We start from the raw sequence: 25,285 nt of genomic DNA on the forward strand, positions 1-25,285 counted from the left end.
TTTTATTTAAAATCATCTTAGTTATGTAAAAACAAGCAGCTTATCTTAAAAGCTTGATTTTTTTCATTCTATGATCTATGTAAAACAAAACTTTTGCTTTATAAATAACTCAACATTCATGTACTGTAAATCCATGGGATGAATAAAACTCAAAATTCAAACAAGATGTTAATAAAGGACTATGAATATTAAATGTTTCAGGAGGCTGTAATTATGATGATTTCTTGAAGTTAGGCCAGATCCCTCAAGAGTTAATGAATGGACACCAAAAAACCAACAGCACACATAAGAAATGCAGTAAGAAATAATTTGGTTAAATGAGAAGTAAATTGGCAAAATAAAATCTACCAATCTGAATCATTTAAAAAGTTTTTAAAGAAAGTCAGAGCCTGGAATTCCCAAAGTACAGATAGATGAAAAGCCAAAGACAGTATGATTGAAGTAAAAGAAATGTTCATAACAAAGATTATTTGCATTTTGGTGGATAAGTGGGTGATTTCTGGAGCTGTAAACTCATTTACTAAAAAGTTGAGAGAAGCACCGCTTTCGTCACTGCTAAATGCAATCACTCAGCCAAGTTCTAAAATGAGAAATGTTCTTGTCGCAAGGAAAATGCTGCTCAGCCGTTTATTGCTTTTTTACTCTGAAGTTTTTTTCTTCCTATTTAAGAAACGTAGGGAAAGCAACTTCAGATGCTTATTTTTATCTGTAAACATCCAGAAAAAAAAGCATTAAGTAAATAACAGACACTTTTTTGTTTTCCTTTGGACTGTACCTCTATCTGGAGAATTTAGTAAAGTTGCAGATGAAGAGGAGAGCCGCTTGCTAATGACGGGATCAACATATTTCGAAAGATTCATGGTGGAAACTGACCGCCTGTCTGGATCTAAAACAAATGGAGATAATGCTAATTGACAGCCAACATGTAGGATTGCAATTTCCTAGTTCACTGATGGAAGGAAAAACTAGGATTGGATGCTTTCTGCTCTATTTCTAGATCTGTCATAATAACACAGTTTTCTAAGTGGACATTTTAAAGGTAACTTAAAGGCTTAGAAATAAAATTCATTTCTCTTAAAGGATAAAATAAATATTTATTTCACCAGCTTGTCAGCCATGGAAATTCAAGGATACAAGTGGATGAAGACAAAAGGAAGGCCAGTGAAGGGCTTCTAAAATAGTGGAGGCACACTATGAAGCAAAAGAGGACCATAAAAGCGAATGCCTTTGAAATCTCCAAAAGAAGGAACAATGGAGTGGTAACATGCTGGTAACATAGAACGCAAACACTGGGATAAAAAGAACACCAGGTTCTGTGTAATTGCTGATAACTTTGCTTACAGAGTCATTTTACCCAGGGCATTAAAGTTCATTATAGAAGAAGGCTCGTTGTTGTTGTTGTTGTTTAAATAAAAAAAAAGAAAAAGTAAAAGAAACATTCTAAGTGTGGAAAGGATTTTTAAGAAACGTTCCTTTATTAAAAATCTAAGAGCCACAGCTCTGTGCTTATGAGTTAGTGTGGCTACAAATGTAGAATTAGCACACACATTCATGAACAATAGCATTGTTCATCCTATAGTCAAGTAATTTTAAAATTTCTTTTTTTTTTTTTTGGGGAGACAGGGTATTGCTCTGTTGGCCAGGCTGGCATGATCATAGCTCACTGCAGCCTCGATCTCCTGGGCTCAAGTGATCCTCCCACCTCAGCCTCCCAAGTAGCTAAGACTCTAGGCAGGCATCACTACGCCCAGCTAATATTTTAATTTTTTTGTAGAGGTGGGGTTCTCATTACGTTGCCCAGGCTGGTCTCAAATTCCTGGCCTCAAGTGATACTCCACCTTGACTTCCCAAAGTGTTGGGATTACAGGCATGAGCCACTGTGCCTGGCATAATTTTAGAATTCTTAAGTTCAAATCAGAAGGGAAATAAGCATACAAAAGGCAAGAATTAGCAGCCTGCTGTTGGTATAGTAGACCCAGGTTATAATCATGCTCATTAGGATAAACGGTGTTCCTCAAATAACACTGCATGTAATGAAAGTCTAAAAAGTCTTATTCCTAATTTATCCAGGAGGCAGGTGGATGTTCTGATCTACAGTAGCCAAAGTGAAAGGGGTTTTTGCTGTATTTTGTTTTATTTTTCTGTTGTTACCTGCTTCTAAAACTAAAACAAAAATACTCCTTGTGGGAGATGCTTCCAAAACTCAGTACCCGTTGGTCTAACCTTGGCAGTAAGAAAAAATTGCTGCAAACTTTTCCCTGTGTATTTTTGACTACTATTTATAGCACACTGGTAATAAGCAAGTCTTTGATTAACATCAGTCATTTCTATCTTCAGCTGGGATTCATTTTAATGGCTGAAGCAATTTTATTATTAAAAAAAAAACCACTTCTGTGCCTCAAATTTATACTTAGCTGATGGACTCTTAGGGCAATCCAAACATAAAGAAAGGATTTAGGGTCAAACATCAAAAGGAACATCCTAGTGATGACATGTGAGGTACAGGGTAGGAAGAGGAATACGAAAGTCATTTCCAGGTGATTTTATAGCAGTACATTTTCTGATATTGCTTTATATGTTATGCTTTAGTTGGGGGAAAATTGTGTCCACACGCAGGCCTATCCTCAGGCAGATTCTCAACAGGTTATTAAAAACATTTAATTCTGCTTCAGAGTAAGTGGAAAAAATGAGTTACAGTGGATCCTTGTATCCTAAAAAGTATCATTAGTAGTAAAGCATCTAAATCTGCCATAAATTGTTAAAATTATGGAGGCACACCATGAATTTGTTTATTACTTAATATATAAGACAGTTGTTATTCATTTCTTTTTCTCACCGAACAAAACACACAAAAGAATAAGTTTTTAATGTATCAAGTTTTTGTTTTATTTTTGAGACAGAGTCTCATTCTGCCAGCCAGGCTGGAGTGCAGTGGCACAATCTCAGCTCACTGCAACCTCCATCTCCTGGGCTCAAGCAATTCTCCTGCCTCAACCTCCTGAATAGCTGGGATTACAGGCATGTGCCACCATAGCCGGCTAGTTTTTGTATTTTTAGTAGAGATATGATTTCTCCATGTTGACCAGGCTGGTCTCGAACTCCTGACCTCAGGTAATCCACCCGCCTCAGCCTCCCAAAGTGCTGGGATTACAGGTGTGAGCCACCGCACCCTGCTGATCGTATCAAGTTTTACAGACCAGTGCTAGTCGATGGCCAGCAGCTGGCCAAGACAGGAATTTTAATGTAGACAGTTTCTATGATGTGTTTGTTGGTCAGCAAACCATGATAGAGTACCCATCATACATCAGGTATTGTTGTCAAGTAAAGGGTATTCAAAATGAATAAGACCTGGTTGCTGTTCTCAAGATCATAGCAAATCATTTTCTGGTCTTTGAGAACTTGGCAAATCCCATTTATTTTCTGGCAAACTTCTCTGTTCCAGTATAGGAACAATTTATTATAATTCACAACCCGTATTAAAATGAATTTTACCCAACAGCTTGCGAATGCAACACTGGTTTCTCTTGTTCTGAGTGGCAGAAATAAATGTCATATATTAAGCTTTGAGTGTGGAGGCAAAAAATTAAGCTAGGCAGCTTACCATCTCCTCAAAAATGTCTGATGATCTAACAGTGTATATCTGCCATATACATGTAAAGCAGGAAGTCAGGTAAAACAAATATATGATTATAAAAATATATACCCTGCCAGGTTTACTGTATGAAAGGTATATAAAAAATATCCCATCAACAAAATCTCATATGTAAATGATCTGTATAACAGATTTAATATGTATCCCACCAGCTACTGCTGGGTCATGAACAACCAAGAAAACAGAAGTGCTTTCATATTTGGTTCACTGTCATAAGAAAGTAAGTTGTGGTGATATTCCTTGGACTTAAACAAATTTTTAATTTTTTAAATTACATTTCTGAATCAGGTTCTCACTCTGTCCTCTAGGCTGGAGTGCAAAGGCAGACTCTTAGCTCACTGTATCCTCAAATTCCTGGCCTCAAGTGATCCTCCTGCCTCAGCCTCCTAAGTAGGTGGGATTATAGGAACATGCCACCATGCCTGTCTAATTTTTTAAAAGAATTTTTTGTAGAGATGGGGTCTATGTTGCCCAGGCTGGTCTTGAACTCCTGGCCTCAAGGGATCCTCCTGCCTTGGCCTCCCAAAGCACTAGGATTACAGGCGTGAGGTACTGCACCTGATCCTAGATTTTTAATTTTAATAAAGCAGTTATAAGAGATCTATAGAATGTTAACAATGAAAGAGAACAGAATAAGCAAACAAAAAGAGGTCCACAGTTATTTAGCTTAAAACTAAAAGTGGCAACAGCAGTAATGATTGACGGGGAAAAAAGCTAAACTGGAAGTACTTTGATCCCAGGTAATTTTTTTAGCTAAAAAACATTTTTTAAAGGTTTAATCCTGACATTGAAAAAAGAAATAAAAAACATAAATAGAAAACCAAAATGATTGTTTAAAGGGAAAGCAAACATTCCACATGTAATTACTTTATTTCAACACCTTTAAGTCACCTGAGTCATATTATCACACTTAAGAAACACTGTTCCAATCCCAGATCTACGTCTATGCGCTAGGGTATTAGGCATGCGTTGATGACTAAGGTGGTGATGCTTCAGCTATTGATGCATCGGCCCTAGGTCTGAGGTGCTAGCTACAGGTCAGGCAATTGGCAATCACAGGGATGTCTGTACCAGCTTTTCTAGTACCACCAAAAGTTATGAAGTGGTGGTCCAGGCCTGCTAAATCCAGAGAGGAGAATGATGATTCAACAAAACCACCTGGAGACAGAATGTAAAACAATGATTTTTCAAAGCAAATTTAAAAAAAAAAGGTTATCAGATTCACACAAATAAAAAAATAAAAACTGACACACTATGTAAAATTCCAGGGGTATTGAATTTACAGTACAAAAATAAAGCCTTTCAGTAAATCCAAATTTCAATATGATTTTATGTCCATTCAGAAAGGAGGAAATAGCTTAGTCATTTACTATTTCTAGCTCAATAAACCTATATATTTTCTTACAGAGCATTAGTGTTGCATATACTTTAGGGTCAGAATACATAAGCTCATAGTATTGATTCTGGTCAGTCAATATAACTATAATCCTTCCAGAGAAAAAGATAAAACTAGTTAACTTATTCCATAATCCTGAAACCCTAATGCAAATAGAAGACTAAAATAATGTAGTGTTGAAGCTAGCATGTTTATTTAGAAACACTACATAGATTTCTCCCTTTAAGGAATTTTGTAACATGAGAAAATTGGCCTGTGTTAAGGGAAAGAGGCCCTTACTTCTTATCTCCATCACCCTCTTATCCTCAAATAGTGAAAGATTCATTTCATTGTTGTTTAATTATTTCAGCAGGATTTTTGTTTCGCAAACATAGATTTAGAAGAAAGAAGGAAACACCCTGTTACTTTCAGGAAAATAAAGACTAATTTTCAAAGTGGTCACTGTTTACCTGCACTGTGGATGCTAGGGCTCCCATGGAGAGAGCCTCCCCACGACCAACGGTTATGCTTCTGTTTTGGCTTCTGGCTCCTTTCCATTGTGCGCCGTACAACAGCTTCGTGGCGTTCCTTAGATGGAATAGAAGAGCTGAGGATTAGATTCCAGCTGGTTGTTTGAAGCTTCTTCAATTTAAGGCAGAATGGAGTGAGGAGTACTACTTCAATTCCCACTCTACTATTCTTGATCTCTAGCTGAACTTCTATACCATAAGGTGAGACTAGTGTCAATCTGGGAGGGTCACTTTAGTCATTAGGTCCCAGTTCATAAAGCCCTTGGCGAACAACAGGCATTCAAATAAACGACCCTTACTACTAGGGTGTGCGTGATGCTTTCATGAACACACGTAAGCATGGTAGTGCAGATCTTAGCTTCAACTGATGCTTATACGATACCATATTTACCATACGATACCATATTTAAAAAACAGTTCAGAATCTGAGAACATGGGTAACCCTGACCCCATGACTTATTGAGTTGTATGACCTTGTGTACCTTACCCACTCTGAGTCTAAATTTCTATTTTTATACAAACTGACATATAATGCATGCTAAAGGATTGAGTAAGGGTTAAATGAGATAATCTATGTGTAAATGTTTGCAAATGGTAAAGACTACAGAAACTCAATTACTTGGAGTGGTCTTAATACTCAGTACAGATGAATTGCACTTCAATAAGTTATAGGTTTGGACCAGAGAAATGGGCTTTTAAACTTTCTGTGGCAATAATAATCATCAGCCCATTCGCTACCTCTCATACCCTGAACTCCCTAGAAACTGTAGCCATCTGTAAAGCTGATCACTCTGAAACCATTTTGCTTTGCACCCTGCACCTGACTGCAAAGTTTCACAGAAAGTTTGCTGCATGTCTGAACTAGAGGAGCCACTCATATTCTTCCCGGGGGGCGGCTCACTTTGTCCTCCTCAAGTCTCTGCCTCCGCTTCTCCTCCACAGCAGCCCTCCTCCGCTCCTCCTTCTGCCTCTGCTCCTCCAACCTCTTCTTCCGCTCTTCCAGGTGCTTCTCGTAGTGCTGCCTGGCTCGCTCTTCTCTTTCTAACCACACTATTTCTCTTGCAGCTTTGGGGAGGGTTAAAAAAAAAAAAAAAGAGGGAAATCAAATATAGGCAGGTTGCAAACTTGAATAGTTAGGGCTGTATTAAGTGGTCTACAATGAACAAATATGGGTTCTTTAGTTTTGTATTAACCAAGCATGGCCTTTGCTTCCCTCAAATTTCCAAGAAAAATGTATTACTGTTAATTTTTAGCATAATTTAATATGTTAGCAATGAGGTTGAAAATGTACTGAATTCCACTCTTTGGGAACGCAAGCAGCCCTCTAGTTTGTAGGTAGAATAAGGCATTATTAACCACATGCTCTAGTCTCAATCCTGAAAATCAATAGTACCATCTGTCTCTTTTTTTTATTATAAAACAATGTGATATCCTCCAGTCTATGACTACATTTTTTCCAACATGGCATTGGTTCTGAGTATTAAAAGGATTTGGGAGAAAATAATTAGTTGATGAAAGATGTCTGAAGTGCCTTACAGGTCTATCACATTGAGTCAGCTCAGGGATGGGAAGGACCGAACAAGCAGGTGGCCTTGTGTCTGAGGAGCTCACAATTTAGTTAGATAAGAGTTAACCATATCAAAAGCTGGATGAAAAATACAATCCAAAATTATCGTTCAACAATAGGATGCATTTTTTCTTCTTTATATAATACAGGTTCTTTCCTCATTTTAGGAAAAGATATGCCCCCTCAAAGCTATTTCAATATGCTGCTTCCTTCAGCGGTAATAACTAAAAATATCTATGAGTTATTAATACTGTAGGCAAAAGGAAAAAATTCAAACAACATTCAAAGAGTAAATCTTGAGGACACTACATGGCATACAAATTAAAATGTTACTTTTTAAAAGAAAAAACAGGCCAGGTGCAGTGGCTCATGCCTGTAATCCCAGCACTTTGGGAGGCTGAGGGGGGCAGATCACTGGCAGTCAGGAGTTTGAGACCAGTCTGGCCAACATAGTGAAACAACATCTCTACTAAAAATATAAAAATTAGGAAGGTGTGGTGGCACGTGCCTGTAGTCCCAGCTACTCGGGAGGCTGAGGTGCAAGAATCACTTGAACTTGGGAGGCGGATGTTGCAGCAAGCCAAGATTGTGCCACTGCACTCCAGCCTTGGACGACAGAGTGAGACTCTGTCTCAAAAACAAACAAACAAACAAACAAATAAAAGAAAAAACATAAATTTAGAAATATTTTGGTTTCCTCTAAATGTTTAATATTAAAGAATGCATTTCTGATACCATTAAATCTTTCCAAAGTTAGTCATTTGAGGACTAAATCTACTGAAAGTGATCGGAACTGACTTTATTTTAGGTGAAGAAAAGGAGAAGGACAAATTCAAGGTGAGTTTGTTCTCCTGGCATCATTCAGGGTGGTTTGTGGAGTGAACTGGGACTGGTTCTCCTAGCAGCTAGGCTACTAACTGGTGCTGAGATCTCAGACATGTTCATTTGGATTTTAGCTTTCTTTTGCTTAAAATGAGGACACTGGTCTTCAAGGTTCCTACCAATTTTCAAAGCTCATTGTTCTAAGGAAATTCTCAAGCTCAAGTTAAAAATTCACTTCAATAAAAAGCATATAGTATCATTGTTGGACATTTGGGTTGGTTCCAAGTCTTTGCTATTGTGAATAGTGCCGCAATAAACAACAATGATAGACTGGATTAAGAAAATGTGGCACATATACACCATGGAATACTATGCAGCCATAAAAAATGATGAGTTCATATCCTTTGTAGGGACATGGATGAAACTGGAAACCATCATTCTCAGTAAACTATCGCAAGAACAAAAAACCAAACACTGCATATTCTCACTCATAGGTGGGAATTGAACAATGAGATCACATGGACACAGGAAGGGGAATATCACACTCTGGGGACTGTGGTGGGGTCGGGGGAGGGGGGAGGGATAGCATTGGGAGATATACCTAATGCTAGATGACACATTAGTGGGTGCAGCGCACCAGCATGGCACATGTATACATATGTAACTAACCTGCACAATGTGCACATGTACCCTAAAACTTAGAGTATAATAAAAAACAACAACAACAACAACAACAACAACAACCAAACCACATGTCAGGCACTGTTTAAAATGCTTTATATGCATTAAATCATATAATCTCTCAAAAAATAAAAAATAAAAACTATTATTCAAAAAAAAAAAAGCATATAGTATACACAATAAGTATTTACTGAATGACTGAAAAAATAAATACCACTGTGAGAACACACTTTAAAAGTTAAGAGAAGTAGAACATAATTCTGATACTTTCTTAAGATGCACTTACTTTGCTCACGCACACTCGTGCACATAATATCTTTTGGATTTTCTACATGGGAATACCTTACTGGAAGGCTTTTAATGACATTAAACATTTTAAATCACTTAAAAAGGTGGATAAATTTTGACAGTGATAGCTTTTGTCAAAGCTTAAACAACACAAAATAATAAACGGTAAAACAACTGTCTTCCTCTAACCTGAGATTCTGTTATATTCCACCTCCAACTTTTTGACAACGTACACCATGCACCTTGTACCAAAGTACACTTACTGCTCTGCATCTTGCTCTTTTTGAGGCAGGGTCTCACTCTGTTGCCCAGGCTGGAGTGTAGTGGCACAATCAGGGCTCACTGCAGCTTTGACCTCCCAGGCTCAGGTGATCCTCCCATCTCAGCCACCTGGGTAGCTGGGACTACAGGCGTGCACCACTATGCCCGGCTAATTTTTTGTATTTTTAGTAGAGATAAGGTTTTGCCATATTGCCCAGGCTGGTCTTGACCTCCTCAGCTCAAGGGATCCACCTGTCTTGGCCTCCCGAAGTTCTGGGATTACAGGCAGGAGCCACCGCACCCAGCCTGCATCTTGCTTTTTTTTTTTTTTTTTTTTTTACTTAAAATGTATCTTAGAGACTTTTCTATATCAACACATGAAACATGAATCTAAGAGTCTTTTTAATGGCTATATAGTATTTTATTGTCTATATACTATACCTTATTTTATATAACCAGTTACCTACTGAGTGATAGGTTATCTAAGTTATTTCCAGTATTTTAAGAATTCAGACCCTGAGCAGTAACAATGTGCTGTCGTAAATCCCTATGTAGATGTGTGAGCATGTCCATGTAGAATAGCTGAATCAAAGGGAACATACATTTAAAATTTTGATAGATATTGTCATACTGTCCTCTGTGGAGGTCATACCAATTTATATACCCACCAACAGTGTATGATGGTCATAGGCAGAAGAATCAGATGTGTACCTTGAGATATGCAGTATGATAAATCTACTTTTTAACTTTTAGCCTTCAAACTACATAGTCTTTGAGTTTTATACCCCATTTTGAGGAAAATTTCAAATTCTCTGAGGACATTTATGAACATAATATTTTCCTCTCCTATAAGAGATCCAGAAGCCAACAAGAGAAAATAAGAAATAAAGATGTTTATAAAATATTAAGAATATATTTGAAAGCTGGTAAGATAAATTTGTAAAATAAGAGTTAATTCACAAATCAATTTTTCTTAAATAATGTTTTCATCAGGCTTTCTGACTTATTAATACGTGGCTCTATTTCTTCACTAAATTTAAACTCCTCTGATTTGTACAGTCCTATTTTGGCTTTAATATCCTTATTTGGCCTTCCTCCCCACTGCTCTCCAAAATAGCCTCTGCATTCTAATTAGATCCCATCTCCTTAATGCACCTCCCATCAAACCATGCTTCTCCCAGATCTTTGCCTTTGTTATTGTCCTGTTGGGAAAGCTGTCATCATTTTTTATCCAAGCAGATCCATGTTTTGAGAAGGCATACTCATAATTGTAATATGTCAGAATTACTGTTGGAACTGTGTGGGGGGAAGGGGAAAATGTCTAGTTCAAACGCAGATTCCAGAGCTCCACCTCTCGTATTTAGAGGTGCTAATTCTAGGATGAGGCCCGGTAACTTGATTTTGGATAAATCTCACAGGTAGTTGAGACAAGTGACCCATGGATGGCATTTGGAGAAACGCTGTACTCTAAGGTCTTCCACAGAAGTGCCATCTCTTCCAGAGCTCACTGCTGATCTTGTGACATCAACCACAAACTTTAGCATTTCTTTTCTTCTATCTATGTATCTATCTATTTATTTTAGAGCCAGGGTCTTGCTCTGTCACCTCGGCTGGAGTGCAGTGGTGTCATCACAGCTCATTGCAACCTCAAACTCCTGAACTCAAGCAATCCTCCTGCCTCAGCCTCCTAAAGGGACTACAGGTACATGCTACCACATTCAGCAAAATTTTTTTTTTTTTTTTTTTTTTTTTAGAGATAGGGTCTCACTACATTGACCAGGCTGGTCTCAAACTCCTAGCTTCAAGAGATGCTCCTGTCTCAGCCCCCTGAGTGCTGGGATTACAGGCCTGAGCCCCAACGCCTGGCCTAGCATTTCTTATGTTCTGATATCTCTGCAGCAAAGGTATTTTTTTTTTTTTTTTTTTTTTTGAGACAGAGTCTCACTCTGTTGCCCAGGCTAGAGTCCGGTAGTGCAATCTTGGCTCACTGCAACCTCCGCCTCCCAGGTTCAAACGATTCTCCTGCCTCAGCCTCCCGAGTGGCTGGGACTACAGGCGCGTGCCACCATACCCAGCTAATTTTTGGTATTTTTAATAGAGACGGGGTTTCACCGTGTTAGCCAAGATGGTCTCGATCTCCTGACCTCGTGATCCACCCACCTCGGCCTCTGAAAGTGCTAGGATTACAGGCGTGAGCCACCGCGCCCGGCCAGGAAATTTTTTTAAAGAAAACCTTTCCACCTGCAGGTGACTGATTTTTATTGAGCCTCTTTTTAAAGCTTTTTAGTGGCTGTATGGTATTTCACTGTCTATGCACATTATTTTTTATAACCAGTTACCTATTGATAGGTTTAATTTTTTTTTATGTTTTTTATTGACGTAGAATAACTGTGCTATTTATAGGGTACATATGATATTTTGATATATGCATACAGTATGTAGTAATCAAATCAGGGTATCTAGGATACCTATCACCTCAGACATTTATTACTTCTTTGTGTTGGGAACATTTCAAATCTTCTCTTATAGATATATCATATATGTAATAAATTATTGTTAACAGTCATCCTATTGTGCTATTGAATACTAGAATTTATTCCTTCTATCTAGCTGTATTTTGTAACCATTAACAAACCTCTTTAACCTCCCCCCCACCTTTCTGTTCCCAGCCCCTGGCAAGCACCACTCGACTCACTACCTCCATGAGATCACTTTTCTTTAGTTCCCATATATGAGTGAGAACATGCAATATTTGTCTTTCTGTGCCTGTCTTACTTCTAAGACAGTGACCTGCAGTTTTATCCATGTTGTTGTAGATGACAGTGTTTCATTCTTTTTTATGGTTGAATAATATTCCATCATATATATATATATATATATATATATATATATATATATATCACATTTTCCTTATCCATTCATCCACTGATGGACACTTAGGTTACTTCTATATCTTGGCTATCGTGAATAGTCTGTTGGATATTCTGATTTCCTTTCTTTGGGCTATATATCCAGTAGTGGGATTGCTGGGTCATCCTGCAGTTCTATTTTTAGTTTTTTGAGGAGCTTCCATACTGTCTTCCATAGCGGCTACACTAATTTACATTCCTATAGCAGTGTACTGGTGTTCCCCTTTCTCTGCGTCTTCATCAGTACCTGCTATTTTTTGTCTTTTTGATAATAGCCATTCTAACTGGGGTGCTATGTCTCATTGTGATTTTGATTTGCATTTCCCTGATAATTAGTGATGTTGAGCTTTTTGCAGATGCCTGTTGGTTATTTCTATGTCTTCTTTTGAGAAATGCTATTCAGATCATTTGCCCATTTTTAATTTGGATTTTTTTTTTTTTTTTTTTTTGCACTATTGAGTTCCTTACATATTCTGGTTGTTAATGCTTTGTCGAATAAATAGTTTGCATATATTTTCTCCCATTCTATTCACTGTCTCTTCTGTTGTTTCCTTTGCTGTGCAGAAGGTTTTTGGCTTCATGTAATCCTATTTGTCTATTTTTGCTTTCGTTGTCTTTGCTTTTGAGGTCTTACCCCAAAACTCTTTGTTCAGACCAATGTCCTGAAGCATTTCCCCAATGCTTTCTTCTAGTAGTTTCATAGTTTCAGGTTACATTGTAGTCTTTAATCCATTTTGAGTTGATTTTTGCATATGGTGAGAGATAGGGGTCTAGTATCATTTTTCTGCATATGGATTATCCAGTTTTCCCAGCACCATTTATTGAAGAGACTGTCCTTTCCCCACCGAATGTTCTTGGTACCTTTGTTGAAAATCAGTTGGCTGTAAATACATGCATTTATTTCCGAGTTCTCTATTCTGTTCCATTGGTCTATGTGTCTGTTTTTATGGCAGTACTATGCTGTTTTGGTTACTATAGTTGTGTAACCAGAGCTTAATATTTTGAAGTCAGGTCGTACGATGCCTCCAGCTTTGTTCTTTTTGCTCAGGATTGCTTTGACTATTTGGGGTCTTCTGTGGTTCCACATAAAGATTTTTTTTTTCTGTTTTTGTGAAGAATGTCATTGGTATTTTGGTAGGAATTGCATTGAATCTGTAGATCACTTTAAGTATGGTCATTTTCACAATATTAATTGTTCCAATTCATGAACATGAGATGTCTTGCACTTTTTTGTGAGCTTTTCAATTTTTTTCATCAGTGTTTTCAGTTTTCCTTGTAGCAAACTTTTACCTCCTTCGTTACATTTATTCCTAAGTATTTTATTTTATTTTTATAGCTACCGTAAATGGGATTGCTTTCTTGATTTCTTTTTCCACTGGTTTGTCACTGAGTTACAGAAACACTGATTTTTTATGTTAATTTTGTACCTTGCAATTTTACTGAATTAATTTATCCATACTTAGAGATTTTTGGCGAAGCTTTTAGGGGTTTTTATATATAAGACCATGTTGTCTGCAAGCAGGGACAATTTTACTTCCTCCTTTCCAATTTAGATGGTCTTTATTTCTTTCTCTTGCCTAATTGCTCTGGCTAGAATCTTTTTGTGTGTGCTCTCCATAGTGCCTTTCAGAACTTGAACATATCCAAGGGTCTTAATAATTATTTTATAATTCATTGGGAACTACTTCCTGATTCATTCACCCATAACTGTTTGGTCCTGGGTAAATTGCTTAACCTCCCTATTCCTCAGTTTTGTCAGGTCAAGGTGTGGGTAAAAAGAGGATCTTTCTCATAAATTTACCATAAAGATTAACAAAATAATTACACATAATATGGTTAGAATACTTTTCTGCAATGTAGTAAACATTCAGTAAATATTAGCTATTGTTGTTTTTGTCGTCATAATCATTATAATTTCAGTTTAGAAAATTAAAGGTAGTTCTTAAGGTTGTGCTATAAATCACAGTAGAGCTAGACATTATTGCAACAATAATTAGTTTTACCCCAAATAATCTTTTAAAGGAAGAATATTTCTTTGTCTATCCAACTGTTATTGAATTCCACTACTACTTTCTACCAGGAAGTGCAGATCCTAATGCAGTGCCTTCTTTAAACAGTCACACAGCAAATAGGCAAATTAAACAACACTTGCCAATTGCAGAGCATGCTAGTGAGTGCAAACTTATTGCTAAATATAGGTCATGCAATATTTTAAATGGAAGGATAACAAAGTATTTCAATATTTTAATAAAAATAAAAAGTTAATTTATTATAAGAGATTTAATACTTTAATACCCGGCCCTTCCACAAAAAGTTTTTTTTTAAAGGGAAAAAAACAAAGTTTAAAAAATAAGCTAGAAGGTGTAAAATCAAGCCTATTAGGTTTAAGAATTTCAGAATAGGTTAAAATATTCCCTATGGATAATGTTGAGGTTATGTATTTTCTCATTAAGAAATGATAATTTTGAATACACGAAAAAATTCAGCAACTGTTATTGACTGAATTGTTCCCCGCCCACCTTGCCCCCACCCCCACCAAGTTCATATGCTGAAGCCCTAACCCCCAAGGTAAATACATTTGAAAATAGGACCTTTAGGAGGTAATTAAGACTAAATGAGGTCATAAAGATGGCACCCTAACCTAACAGATTCAGAGGAAATACCATGTGAGGACAAAGTGGCCCACTGGAAGCCAGGAAGAGAGCCCTCAACAGAAGCTGAACTTGATCTTGGACTGCACGGCCTCCAGAGCTGTGAGAAAATAAATTTCTGTTGTTTAAGCTACCCAGTCTATGGTATTTTGTTATGGCATCCCTAGTAGATGAATACAACTCATTCAGTATTTAAATCATTAACAACCACTTAATTTCATAAAGAGGCAGCTCCGTAAAAGAACAGTATGTCCAAAAAATGAACTGTGATTAATATTAACCTTTACTCTTCTGAAGTCACAATTTATCCCTGGCCTATGGGATCACATTATAAAATGAAGTGAAAATCCACTGTAGCCTGTGAAATACTGGACACTAACGAGTCAGTCCCATCCCTGACCTGCTGACACCAAGATATTTTAATGACACTGTAACAATATATCAGTACCATACAAAGGAGAAATCCACTATCAATCTAGACTCCATGTAGAAATACACAGTGATGCTGTACAAAAAGGAATTAAAAATGAAAAGCAGGGTACTGTGGTGGATAGAGGACAGTTTCTGGCTTCATATGAACTTGGGCCCACCCCCAGTCTTGCCACTTACAAGCTATGTGCCACTGAACAAGTAATGACTTCTGTGGCCTTGTTCCCCCAAGTTACTATGGCACCAACTTCCTGACAGGGCTGCTTTGTGGCTCACAGTAACATATGAAGCACTTAGCATAGTGCCATGTACATTGCAGGGATTCAATAAATGCAGATAATGACAGCCTTTACGATAATCAATAATTCCTGTCCTATTGCCACGTAGAGTGATATGGTTTGGCTCTGTGTTCCCACCCAAATCTCATCTTGAATTGTACTCCCATAATTCCCACATGTTGTGGGAGGGACCCCGTGGGACATAATTTGAATTGTGGGAGTAGTTTCCCCCATATTGTTTTTGTGGTAGTGAATAAGTCTCAAGAGATCTGAAGGTTTTATCAGGAGTTTCCACTTTTTCATCTTCCTCATTTGCTCTTGCCACCACCATGTAGGAATTGCCCTTTGCCTCCTGCTACGATTCTGAGGTCTCCTCAGCCACGTGGAACTTTAAGTCCAATTAAACCTCTTTTTCTTCCCAGTCTCAGGTATGTCTTTACCAGCAGTGGGAAAATGGACTAATACACACAGCATGCAGCTAACAGGAAGAAACTCAGGTAGAACAGTGAACTCAGTGCACTCATGGGTTGTGTGCAACACTCCACATGCCCCTGTCATCACATTCAGCAATCTAGAGTCCAGCCTGGTCCCTCTGAACAGGCTTACTTCTGTATCAGGGGAGCATATATTTTACTGCTGTATGAGAGAAAAGAAAAGGTGACATTCAGAGACTAGAGAAATATCATCACTTAACCTCTGAAATATTCAGACTTGTTGTCTCAGTTTCATACTAAGATATAGAAGGATTTTGGGTAACACTGGCTACCAGAGTAGCCAGTAATATAATGAAGAGTCAGAAAGTGAAAAGTGATGAGAACATCTGAGTTTGGGTCTTGAGTCTGCTACTAATTCTGTGTGATCTTGGGAAAACTAGCCAAACTCTTCTACTTCTACATTAGAAAGAGTATACAAAATGATCTCCAAGATCTCTTCCAACTAACTCCCATGACTTGATTTTTTTGTTTTTACCTTTGAGGACATGTGTGGGATTACAATTAGATTCCTTTTCTTTTTCTTTTTTGGTGAGACAGGGTTTTGCTCTGTAACTCAGGCTGAAGTACAATGGGATAGTAATGGCTCACTGCATCCTCGACCTCCCAGTCTCAAGTGATCCTCTGGCCTCAGCTCCTGAGTAGCTGAGACTACAGGCACATGCCACCATGTCTGGCTCGTTTTTTTTTTTATTATTATTCCTTGTAGAGACAGAGTCTTGCTGTGTTGTCCAGGCTGGCCTCAAACTCCTGGGCTCAAGCAATCCTCCTGCCTTGGCCTCCCAAAGTGCTGGGATTATAGGCATGAGCCACTGTGCCTGGTCCAGTTTCCTTTTGTTTTCATTTTGAATGTTAAAATTTTAACCTTTATGCTTTATCTCAATAATTGTTGTGATTACTTATATTCAAATACATGTCATTTTCATATTATATGCTGACTGATATATGTGCTGAATAATAATTCTTTTTAAAAAGGAATCTAATGGCTTAACCTATGCTCATCAATTTTAGAAGGGAGTTGTAGAATAAAATAATAAGAACATCTAAAGATGGAAAAGTAAAAATATTTTGTAGGTCTTAGAGCATTTGTGTGGGAAATACTAATTAGTTTCATTTAATAGTCAAGAAACAGGAATGAAAATGTAATCATTAATAGAATGGAAAAGTTTAGCACACCTTTCAAATTATTAAAGATAACCATGGAATGAATGGTACTTACATCAAACCAACCCCTACCTCTACACCACCAGCCCTGCCCCTCCTACAAAAAAGTTTTTTTTTCTTTTTTAAAAAAAGGGGAAAATAGGCTGGGTGTGGTGGCTCACGCCTGTAATCCCAGCACTTTGGGAGGCTGAGGCGGGCAGATCACGAGGTCAGGAGATCGAGACCATCCTGGCTAACACAGTGAAACCCTGTCTCTACTGAAAATACAAAAAATTAGCCAGGCGTGGTGGTGGGCGCCTGTAGTCCCAACTACTAGGGAGGCTGAGGCAGGAGAATCACTTGAACCTGGGAGGCGGAGGTTGCAGTGAGCCAAGATTGCGCTACTGCACTCCAGCCTGGGCAACAGGGCGAGACTCTGTCTCAAAAAAAAAAAAAAAAGAGTTGGGGGAAACAACATTTTTTAAAAAAAGCCAGATGGACTAAAATCAAGCCTATTAAGACTTTTAGAATGGGTTAAAAACAAAAACACCTAGCTATGTTGTTTAAAAGAAACAAAACTAAAACAAAGCGTCAAATAACACTAAAATAATGAGCAAATGGCTATCAGGCAAATGAAAACAAAAATGTAATAACTGTGGGACTATTGCTACCAGAAAAAATAGAACTGAAGATCAAATGAGGAAAAAGACCCAAAGAAGTGAAATGATGCTTCCAAGATCAGCACATGGTCTAAAAGAAAACAGCTGGGATTTTCATTCAGCTCTGACTCGAAAGCTTGTACTCAGTCACTCTACAATATTGCCTCTATATTCACTTCTGCATGCTTCTAATTTCCACCTGAATTTCTCAGTCAGATCCATCATATAATCTTATTCATTATCTGCACATTCTTCCCTGCTCCAAACTGGAACTTTCTTTGTCTTCCGTATTCTGATAGCAGATTCCTGAGACCAAATGGTCTATAAAGTTAGTCACTTCAAGTCTTCCACAATGTTTCCCTCATGCATGGTGCACCCTAACTCAACACATCCATATAATTGGTCCCATCAATTGTTGTATCAGAATGATCTCTCAGCTGGGTGCAGTGGCTCACACCTGTAATCCTAACACTTTGGGAGGCCAAGGTGGGAAGACTGCTTGAGCTCAGGAGTTTGAGACTAGCATGGGCAACATAGCAAGACCCCCATCTCCACAAAAAAGAAAGAAAAATTATCTGGACTTGTTGGCACATGCCTGTAGTCCCAGGTACTTGGGAGGCTGAGGCAGAAGGGTCCCTTCAGCCCAAGAGTTTGAGGATGCAGTGAGCTATGATTGCACCACTGCACTCCATCCTGGGTGACATGTTTATTGAGGCACTATTCACAATAGCAAAGACTTGGAACCAACCCAAATGTCCATCAATGATAGACTCGATTAAGAAAATGTGGCACATATACACTATGGAATACTATGCAGCCATAAAAAAGGATGAGTTCTTGTCCTTTGTAGGGACATGGATAAAGCTGGAAACCATCATTCTGAGCAAACTATCGCAAGGACAGAAAACCAAACACCGCATGTTCTCACTCATAGGTGGGAACTGAACAATGAGAACACTTGGACACAGGATAGGGAACATCACACACCTGGGCCTGTCGTGGGGTGGGAGGAGGGGAGAGGGATAGCATTAGGAGATATACCTAATGTAAATGATGAGTTAATGGGTGCAGCACACCAACGTGGCACATGTATACATATGTAACAAACTTGAACGTTGTGCACATGTACCCAAGAACTTAAAGTATAATTAAAAAAAAAAAAAGAAACCCTGTCTCTAATGTAAAAAAACAGAAAAACACAGAATGATCGCTTGAATCTGCTGTAGCCTCTCCAATCTTTTTACCACTACTTTAAACTCTCATTCCTTTCTCATGCCTCATTTCTAGTCTTTAACCACTTCAAATCCATCCTACACATTAGTCGTCTCAGAGATATCTTCCTCAAGAAACAGACCTGAAGTCATTGTCGTGCTTGAAAACCTGTTAGTTCTCCTACTGTTCCCTGTCCAACCCCTTGGACTGGCCATAGGATCATGCATCTTCACACACACCTCCTTCCCCCTGGCAAACTTCTGTCTTTCAAGTCCTAGCTCAGAAGCTCCTTCCTCTGAGGAGCCTTTCCTGATGACCACAGCACAGGAGCCCCATCTGCTAGCTGGATTCAGACTCCCTCATAGCACTTACACTCCAGACGGTAGCTACTCTGCTTTTATGTGTTTGTGAATTCTTCCCTATACACACAATGTCTAGTCTAGCAGATGGTTAAAATATGCTTGAATAAATGAACTAAAGAGTTAAAGGACAGAGTGATCTCCAAGCATAGTGATTCACACTGGGCTTTGGTGACAACTCAAAGCCTTCTCAACTTGTCATTAAAAGCATTCAGTGGAGAGCTGCCTGATAAGAAGTGTGACCTTGGAGGATCCCCACAACACGGTGCTCCTGCACAGAGGGTCCTTCCCATTTCACCCTGTCACTGCACACAGTGGTGGGCTAATGGGGTTGAGGTGCTAGAATAGTAGTTACATAGGTGGAGATCAAGAGCTTTTCTTATATGTAGGCTGAATGATTTTTCAAATAAGAAAGGACTTACTGCCGGGCACGGTGGCTCACGCCTGTAATCCCAGCACTTTGGGAGGCCGAGGCCGGCGGATCACGAGGTCAGGAGATCGAGACCATCCTGGCTAACACGGTGAAACCCCGTCTCTACTAAAAATACAAAAAATTAGCCGGGTGCGGTGGCGGGCGCCTGTAGTCCCAGCTACTCGGGAGGCTGAGGCAGGAGAATGGCGTGAACCTGGGAGGCGGAGCTTGCAGTGAGCCGAGATAGCGCCACTGCACTCCGGCCTGGGCGAAAGAGCAAGACTCTGTCTCAAAAAAAAAAAAAAAAAAAAAAAAAAAAAAAAAAAAGAAAGAAAAAGAAAAAGAAAGGACTTACTATCTCAGGGCTAGGCCTAAAGGAATGTTAGCCTTCACTAAAATAATGGAGTTTTGCTAAACAGGGCAATGGTTGTCCTTGGAATCTTTCTGTTACAGCCTTAACCCTAAGTACTTTCACTCCTCAAAGAATGTAGCCATTCTCTTCACCTGGGGCTGTCCTACTTAGCCCCACCCTAATGGATGAGGAGGCACAGACATCCCCCACCTCTCTCTGCTACGCCTTAGGCTTCTCTAATTCCAGGAATCTAAGTCAGTATTTGTGGAATCATATGACCTGCCATCCTCATCTTTATCACCGTCATCATCATGGTGAGATGTCGTCAGCTCTTGCTTCATGCTGACGCAAGTGATTTATAGGCATTGTCTTTGCAGCCACTCTATGAGGCAGACACTGCCATTAAACTTATTTTATTATGAGAAGTCTGAGATACAGAGGAGTGAAGTAACCTGCCCGATGTCTCACAACAAATAAGTGATGAAGTTGGCATTCAAACTCTGGATTGTCTGACTCTAGAAGCAAACAATGAGCCATTATGCTAAAAGGCATGAATTGGAACACCTTCCAAAGACCACAGCTCCTTCTCTGTACTAGCAAGAAAGAGCTGGGCATCCAAATGTGAAGGTCCTGATCTTCCAATGCCACTCTTAGCCTCTACCGTCATCTGTTTACAAGACCCCTTACTTTTCAGGTTTTAAGATTTTTTATCTTCACTCTTAAAGGCAAAGTAATTTGGGGAGAAAAAAATAATGGCTGCTTTGTCATAATGACTCATTTTATGTTCAGGCTTCAGCTTCTGCTTACCTAATCCATGCAGCAAGCAGCAATTATTCTTTCCAGTCCTGAGCCTGACTCATGATACAGCTGCTCTGTTATGTGCTAACATCCATATTCCTCTCACTAAGATGCATTTAGGTCCCTCAGCTGTTAACCTGCCTGACAGCCTCATGAGCTTTTGTACACTATATTCACTAAGTGACAATTTTAGGAGATGCAGATGCTGAGACTGGTAACAGATATGCCGAAGTTTATCCATTAGATATTTGGATTAGAAAGATTACTTCCCTAAAGCCTCCTCTGACCCCTTTTTTTTTCCTGGACAGTCTCTAAAGAGGAAAGTCTCTTGTTAAAACCAACAGCCATCTGAATCAAATAACGTGAAGTATGAAATCAGGGGGAGTTTCACTCCCAATTCTAACCAGGAGTACAGCATTATTATTTACTAATTATTACTAACTTGCTATCAGCATTTTTGGGATGAACATTCTAAACCAGGTTGAAATGACCATTTATCTCTTGACCACACTCTTATTAGTACTGCCGTCACTCACTGAGTTGACAACACACTGAGATGAGAGAGAAAAAAAAAGAAGCACAGCAAGAAAGCTATGATTAGAAGGCAAAGGAAGCCCGATGAAATTATCTAGGAAAAAAAAAAAAAGCCCCTCACATATAATTTAACCAAAGTTTGTTCAAAGGTTAAAACTTTTTATATTGTCTTATTCTTTCTAAAATATTGCTTTATGATATATCTTAGCTTTGAACTTAGCTACAAAACTCAATATGAATGAAATTATAGATTTGTAAGTTGACATTTTTCTTCAAGAGCTATGTCAGTCCATCATACATTCTCTTTCATGATTTTATAGAATCCCCGAAAGTACCAATTAGGAATTTGACTCTTCATATAAAAATTTTGGTTTCAGAAAAAGACTAAATAATTACATGTTTACTGAGTGCCTAGTATGTTCCAAGGCACTTAAACAAAACTTAAACACAATCAATACTCCAAACTTACTTGTTATTATCTTGAAAAAGGGAAGCTCTGTGTCTGCTCAAGCGTAGAGTACTGTTTGTGTGCTACACAGTCCTTAAATATTCTCTTGAACTTTCTTGTCGACATATTGTAGAACTATTAGTTTTATAATATATGAAGAGGAAAATTTAAGGCATATCCTAATAGATTATCCATAGATAATAGGATAGATCCATAGGAAAATTTAAGGACTATCCTAATAGATTATTTCTGTATTCTTGTTCACCTGAGAAAATGATTACTAATAAGAATTTAATACCTGTTTGACTGAACTATCATAAGGGCAGGTATTACATGATACTTTGGTAACGTTTTAACTAATATGCAATACCTCCTGCATTCATCTCCACTTAACATTAAACAAACAGTTGCTGGACATTGATTACGTGCCAAGCTGTTCTAGATACTAAGCTACAGAAATGAAAAAAAGACATAAATCCCTTCCCTTCCAGAGCTTATGTTCCGGGGCAGGGGGCCAACAGATAATCAACAAATAAGTAAAATATCTACATGCTTAGATGTTGACAGAGCTAGGGAGAAAAATAAAGAAGGTCTGGTTTGAGGGAGCTGAAAATTTGAGTAAGATGGTAGGAGAAGGCCTCGCTGAGAAGGTGGCATTTAAATGAAACCTGAAGGAGGAGAGGGAATGAACTATGTGGATTTCTCAGGAAAAACACTCTAGGTGGAGTGCATTTGGCTGTAGTGTTTAAGAAACAGCAAGGAACCAGCATGGCTGGAGGAGAGGGCAAAGGAGAGGACATTAGCAGGTAGCAGGGCTGAGCCATGGTAAGGGTTCTGACTTCTACTCTGCATGAAATGTAAAGACTTGAAAGGTCTGGAGCAGAGGCAGGCCTGGCAGGCCATATTGCAAGTGGGTCACTCTGGCTGCTGTGTTAACAGACTCTGTGGGAGGAGGAGGAAATGAGGACACCGGTTGGGAGCCTATTGCAGAATCCGGGTGAAAGATCTAGCTGTCTTGGGCCAAGGTGGCAGCAGTGGTGGTTGTGAGAAGTAGTTACTTTCTGGGTATGTTTTGAGGGTACAGCAAAGAGTATTTGCTGATGGATTGGTTATGGGATGTGTGGGAAATTTCAGCTAAGATGCTAGGTAATCTTGTTTGATTTTTTATTATCTTACTCCCTTCTTGGAATATAAATTCCAGGAGGTTATGAAATTTATTCTTTTCACTTCAATACTCCAGCATCCCTGGCTCAATACTATCTACGCTTTAAATATTATTGAATGAATACATAAAATCACACAAAATAGCTTAAAAGAGAGGGGGTTCTATTTTAAGCTCTCTGAATAAAAAATTTATGTTGTTGCATAAATTCTATATACTCTGGTTCTAGTAATGGTTTCTGAAGAGAAATCGGTAACCAGGATCGATTCTAAGTTCATAAAGACAGAATTACTCTTAATGGACTCAAAGGATGGTAACTGATCAATGCCATAAAGTTTTCTCAAAGCAGATCTCAGAATCTGCTCCAACACTTACATTTTAACCACTGTCGAATGGGAGTCAACATAGCACCTATGCATCTTATGAATACATCTATGAGGAAGGAGAATAACTCTTTCTCCATGACAACTGGATACCTGTCCAACTCCTAAAACTTCTGAAAATTCTATCACCCATAAACAAAGCACAAGGATCTCTCTCTACTTAACAGCATCACTACTAGTGGAAGAATTTTAACATGGACTGTGGTGATCCTGTACATACTAAAATCATGCTTAAAAAGCTAATAGGGGCTGGGTGTGGTGGCTCACGTCTGTAACCCCAGGACTTTGGGAGGTCAAGGCGGGCAAATCCCTTGAGGCCAGGAAAATCAGACCAGCCTCACCAACGTGGCAAAATCCCATCTCTACTAAAAATACAAAAATTAGCTGGGCGTGGTAGCACATGCCTGTAATCCCAGCTACTCGGGAGGCTGAGGCACGAGAATTGCTTGAACCTGGAAGGTGGAGGTTGCAGTGAGCTGAGATCATGCCACTGCACTCCTGCCTAAGTGACAGAGCAAGACTGTATAAAACAAAAACAAAAACAAACAAAACAACAACAACAACAAAAGGGTAATAGGGCAGAAAAACAAAAGGGTGTATTAACGATTCCATTTTTCTGAGATCCTCTCAGTTACTTCCTTTGGCTAACTCATCACAATGTATTTTAAAAATAAAGTAAGTGACATTCTATTAAAAAACTTACCTTGCCAATTATGGCACGCCCACACAATAAAAAGTACAACCACTGTGCTAATTTGTTACTAAATGGGATTATACATAGTGAAGTGTTTAGAACACTGCCTGGCCCATAGTTAGTGCTCAATAAATACTGTTTATCATTATTGCTATTATTTCACTGAAGATTGTAGAGTAAGCAAAATCAGCAAATATTTATTATGTGTTTTACACTTAGCACTGTGCCATGTGTTGGGATACAAAAAATTAGAGACCACAGTCATATTCTTTGGAAGCTTAAAATACACACCAGAGATACAAACCAGAGATAGAAAGTCTAAATAGATAAAAATTCAGTAGTGTATAAAACAGCAGTAGAATGTGAACTAAAACGTGATAGTTATGCAAGATATAGTATATAGTGAAAGGATGATAAATTTCTAAAAGGAGATTTTCTAGGAAGCCTTTAAAACAGAAGGACTGGCACTAATTGTGATACAGTGCTAGGAGTATAAAGAACAACAGGGCAGTAAATGTATTAGCCTGAACTAGGATAATGGCAGAGGCAGCCAATACAATGGCATAGACTCTTACCTGAAATAAGAGTCTGCTAGATTTCTGACTAAATGGATTCAGGGTTAGAGTATGTCAACTTCTACCTACCTACTGGGCTAGTTGATAGTAGATAGTTGAAGCTCCAGTTAGAGAACTAGGCTGAGTCCAGACTGACCACTGGGTAGCTACAAGTGGCCCAATATGCCAGGATGGAGACCAGTCAGTGGACAGTATTGGGCCAGCCAAGGAAGGGAGAATGTTTTATTCTGCAAAAGATCTAATAGCTAAGCTACTAGTCAGAAAGAACCTAGGGTCTCTAGCAGAAGCATCAAAAATGACGGAAATAAATAATGTCTTGGGGCCAAAAAAACCCAAACATTTGGTGCAATTAATTGGGACACAGAAATTACCAGGATGAGTCAGTTTTGGAGTGAAAGAAAATGAACAATTTAGTTGTACAGAAGTAGAGTTTCGGGAAACAGGCAGGCATCTACTGCCTTCCGAGTAGCTGGAAATGTGGAATCAATATTTAAAAAGGAGAGTGAACCTGTGAGAACAAATGAGATTCTCCACCCCACCCTTGGAAAACAAAAAATAAAAGCTTAGAAGAGAGAGAGTGAAAAACATGCAGAAGTCAAGAGAGAGAGTTTGAGGGGATA

The 25,285-nt window shown here is 38.6% G+C and overlaps 1 protein-coding gene across 39 annotated transcripts in view; it reads right to left on the minus strand.

Moving 5' to 3' along the window:
- The window catches only part of MAP7 (microtubule associated protein 7), a 207,689-nt gene that overhangs the window by 40,162 nt on the left and 142,242 nt on the right, over positions 1-25,285 (minus strand). For 18 of the 39 annotated variants that reach the window (NM_003980.6, NM_001388334.1, NM_001198619.2 and 15 more), the window contains 3 exons: positions 6,459-6,622; positions 5,498-5,615; positions 776-886 (listed from right to left, as the gene is read on the minus strand). The exons of 4 other annotated variants lie outside the window; for them this stretch is intronic. In NM_003980.6, coding sequence (NP_003971.1) covers positions 776-886; positions 5,498-5,615; positions 6,459-6,622 — 393 coding nt within the window. Of the gene's footprint in view, positions 1-775; positions 908-5,497; positions 5,616-6,458; positions 6,623-25,285 lie in introns of all 39 variants that reach the window. 17 more of the 39 variants (NM_001198616.3, NM_001388339.1, NM_001388342.1 and 14 more) reach the window with 3 other exon arrangements.

This window comes from Homo sapiens, chromosome 6 (genome assembly GCF_000001405.40).
Source record: "Homo sapiens chromosome 6, GRCh38.p14 Primary Assembly".
Taxonomy (NCBI): domain Eukaryota; kingdom Metazoa; phylum Chordata; class Mammalia; order Primates; family Hominidae; genus Homo; species Homo sapiens.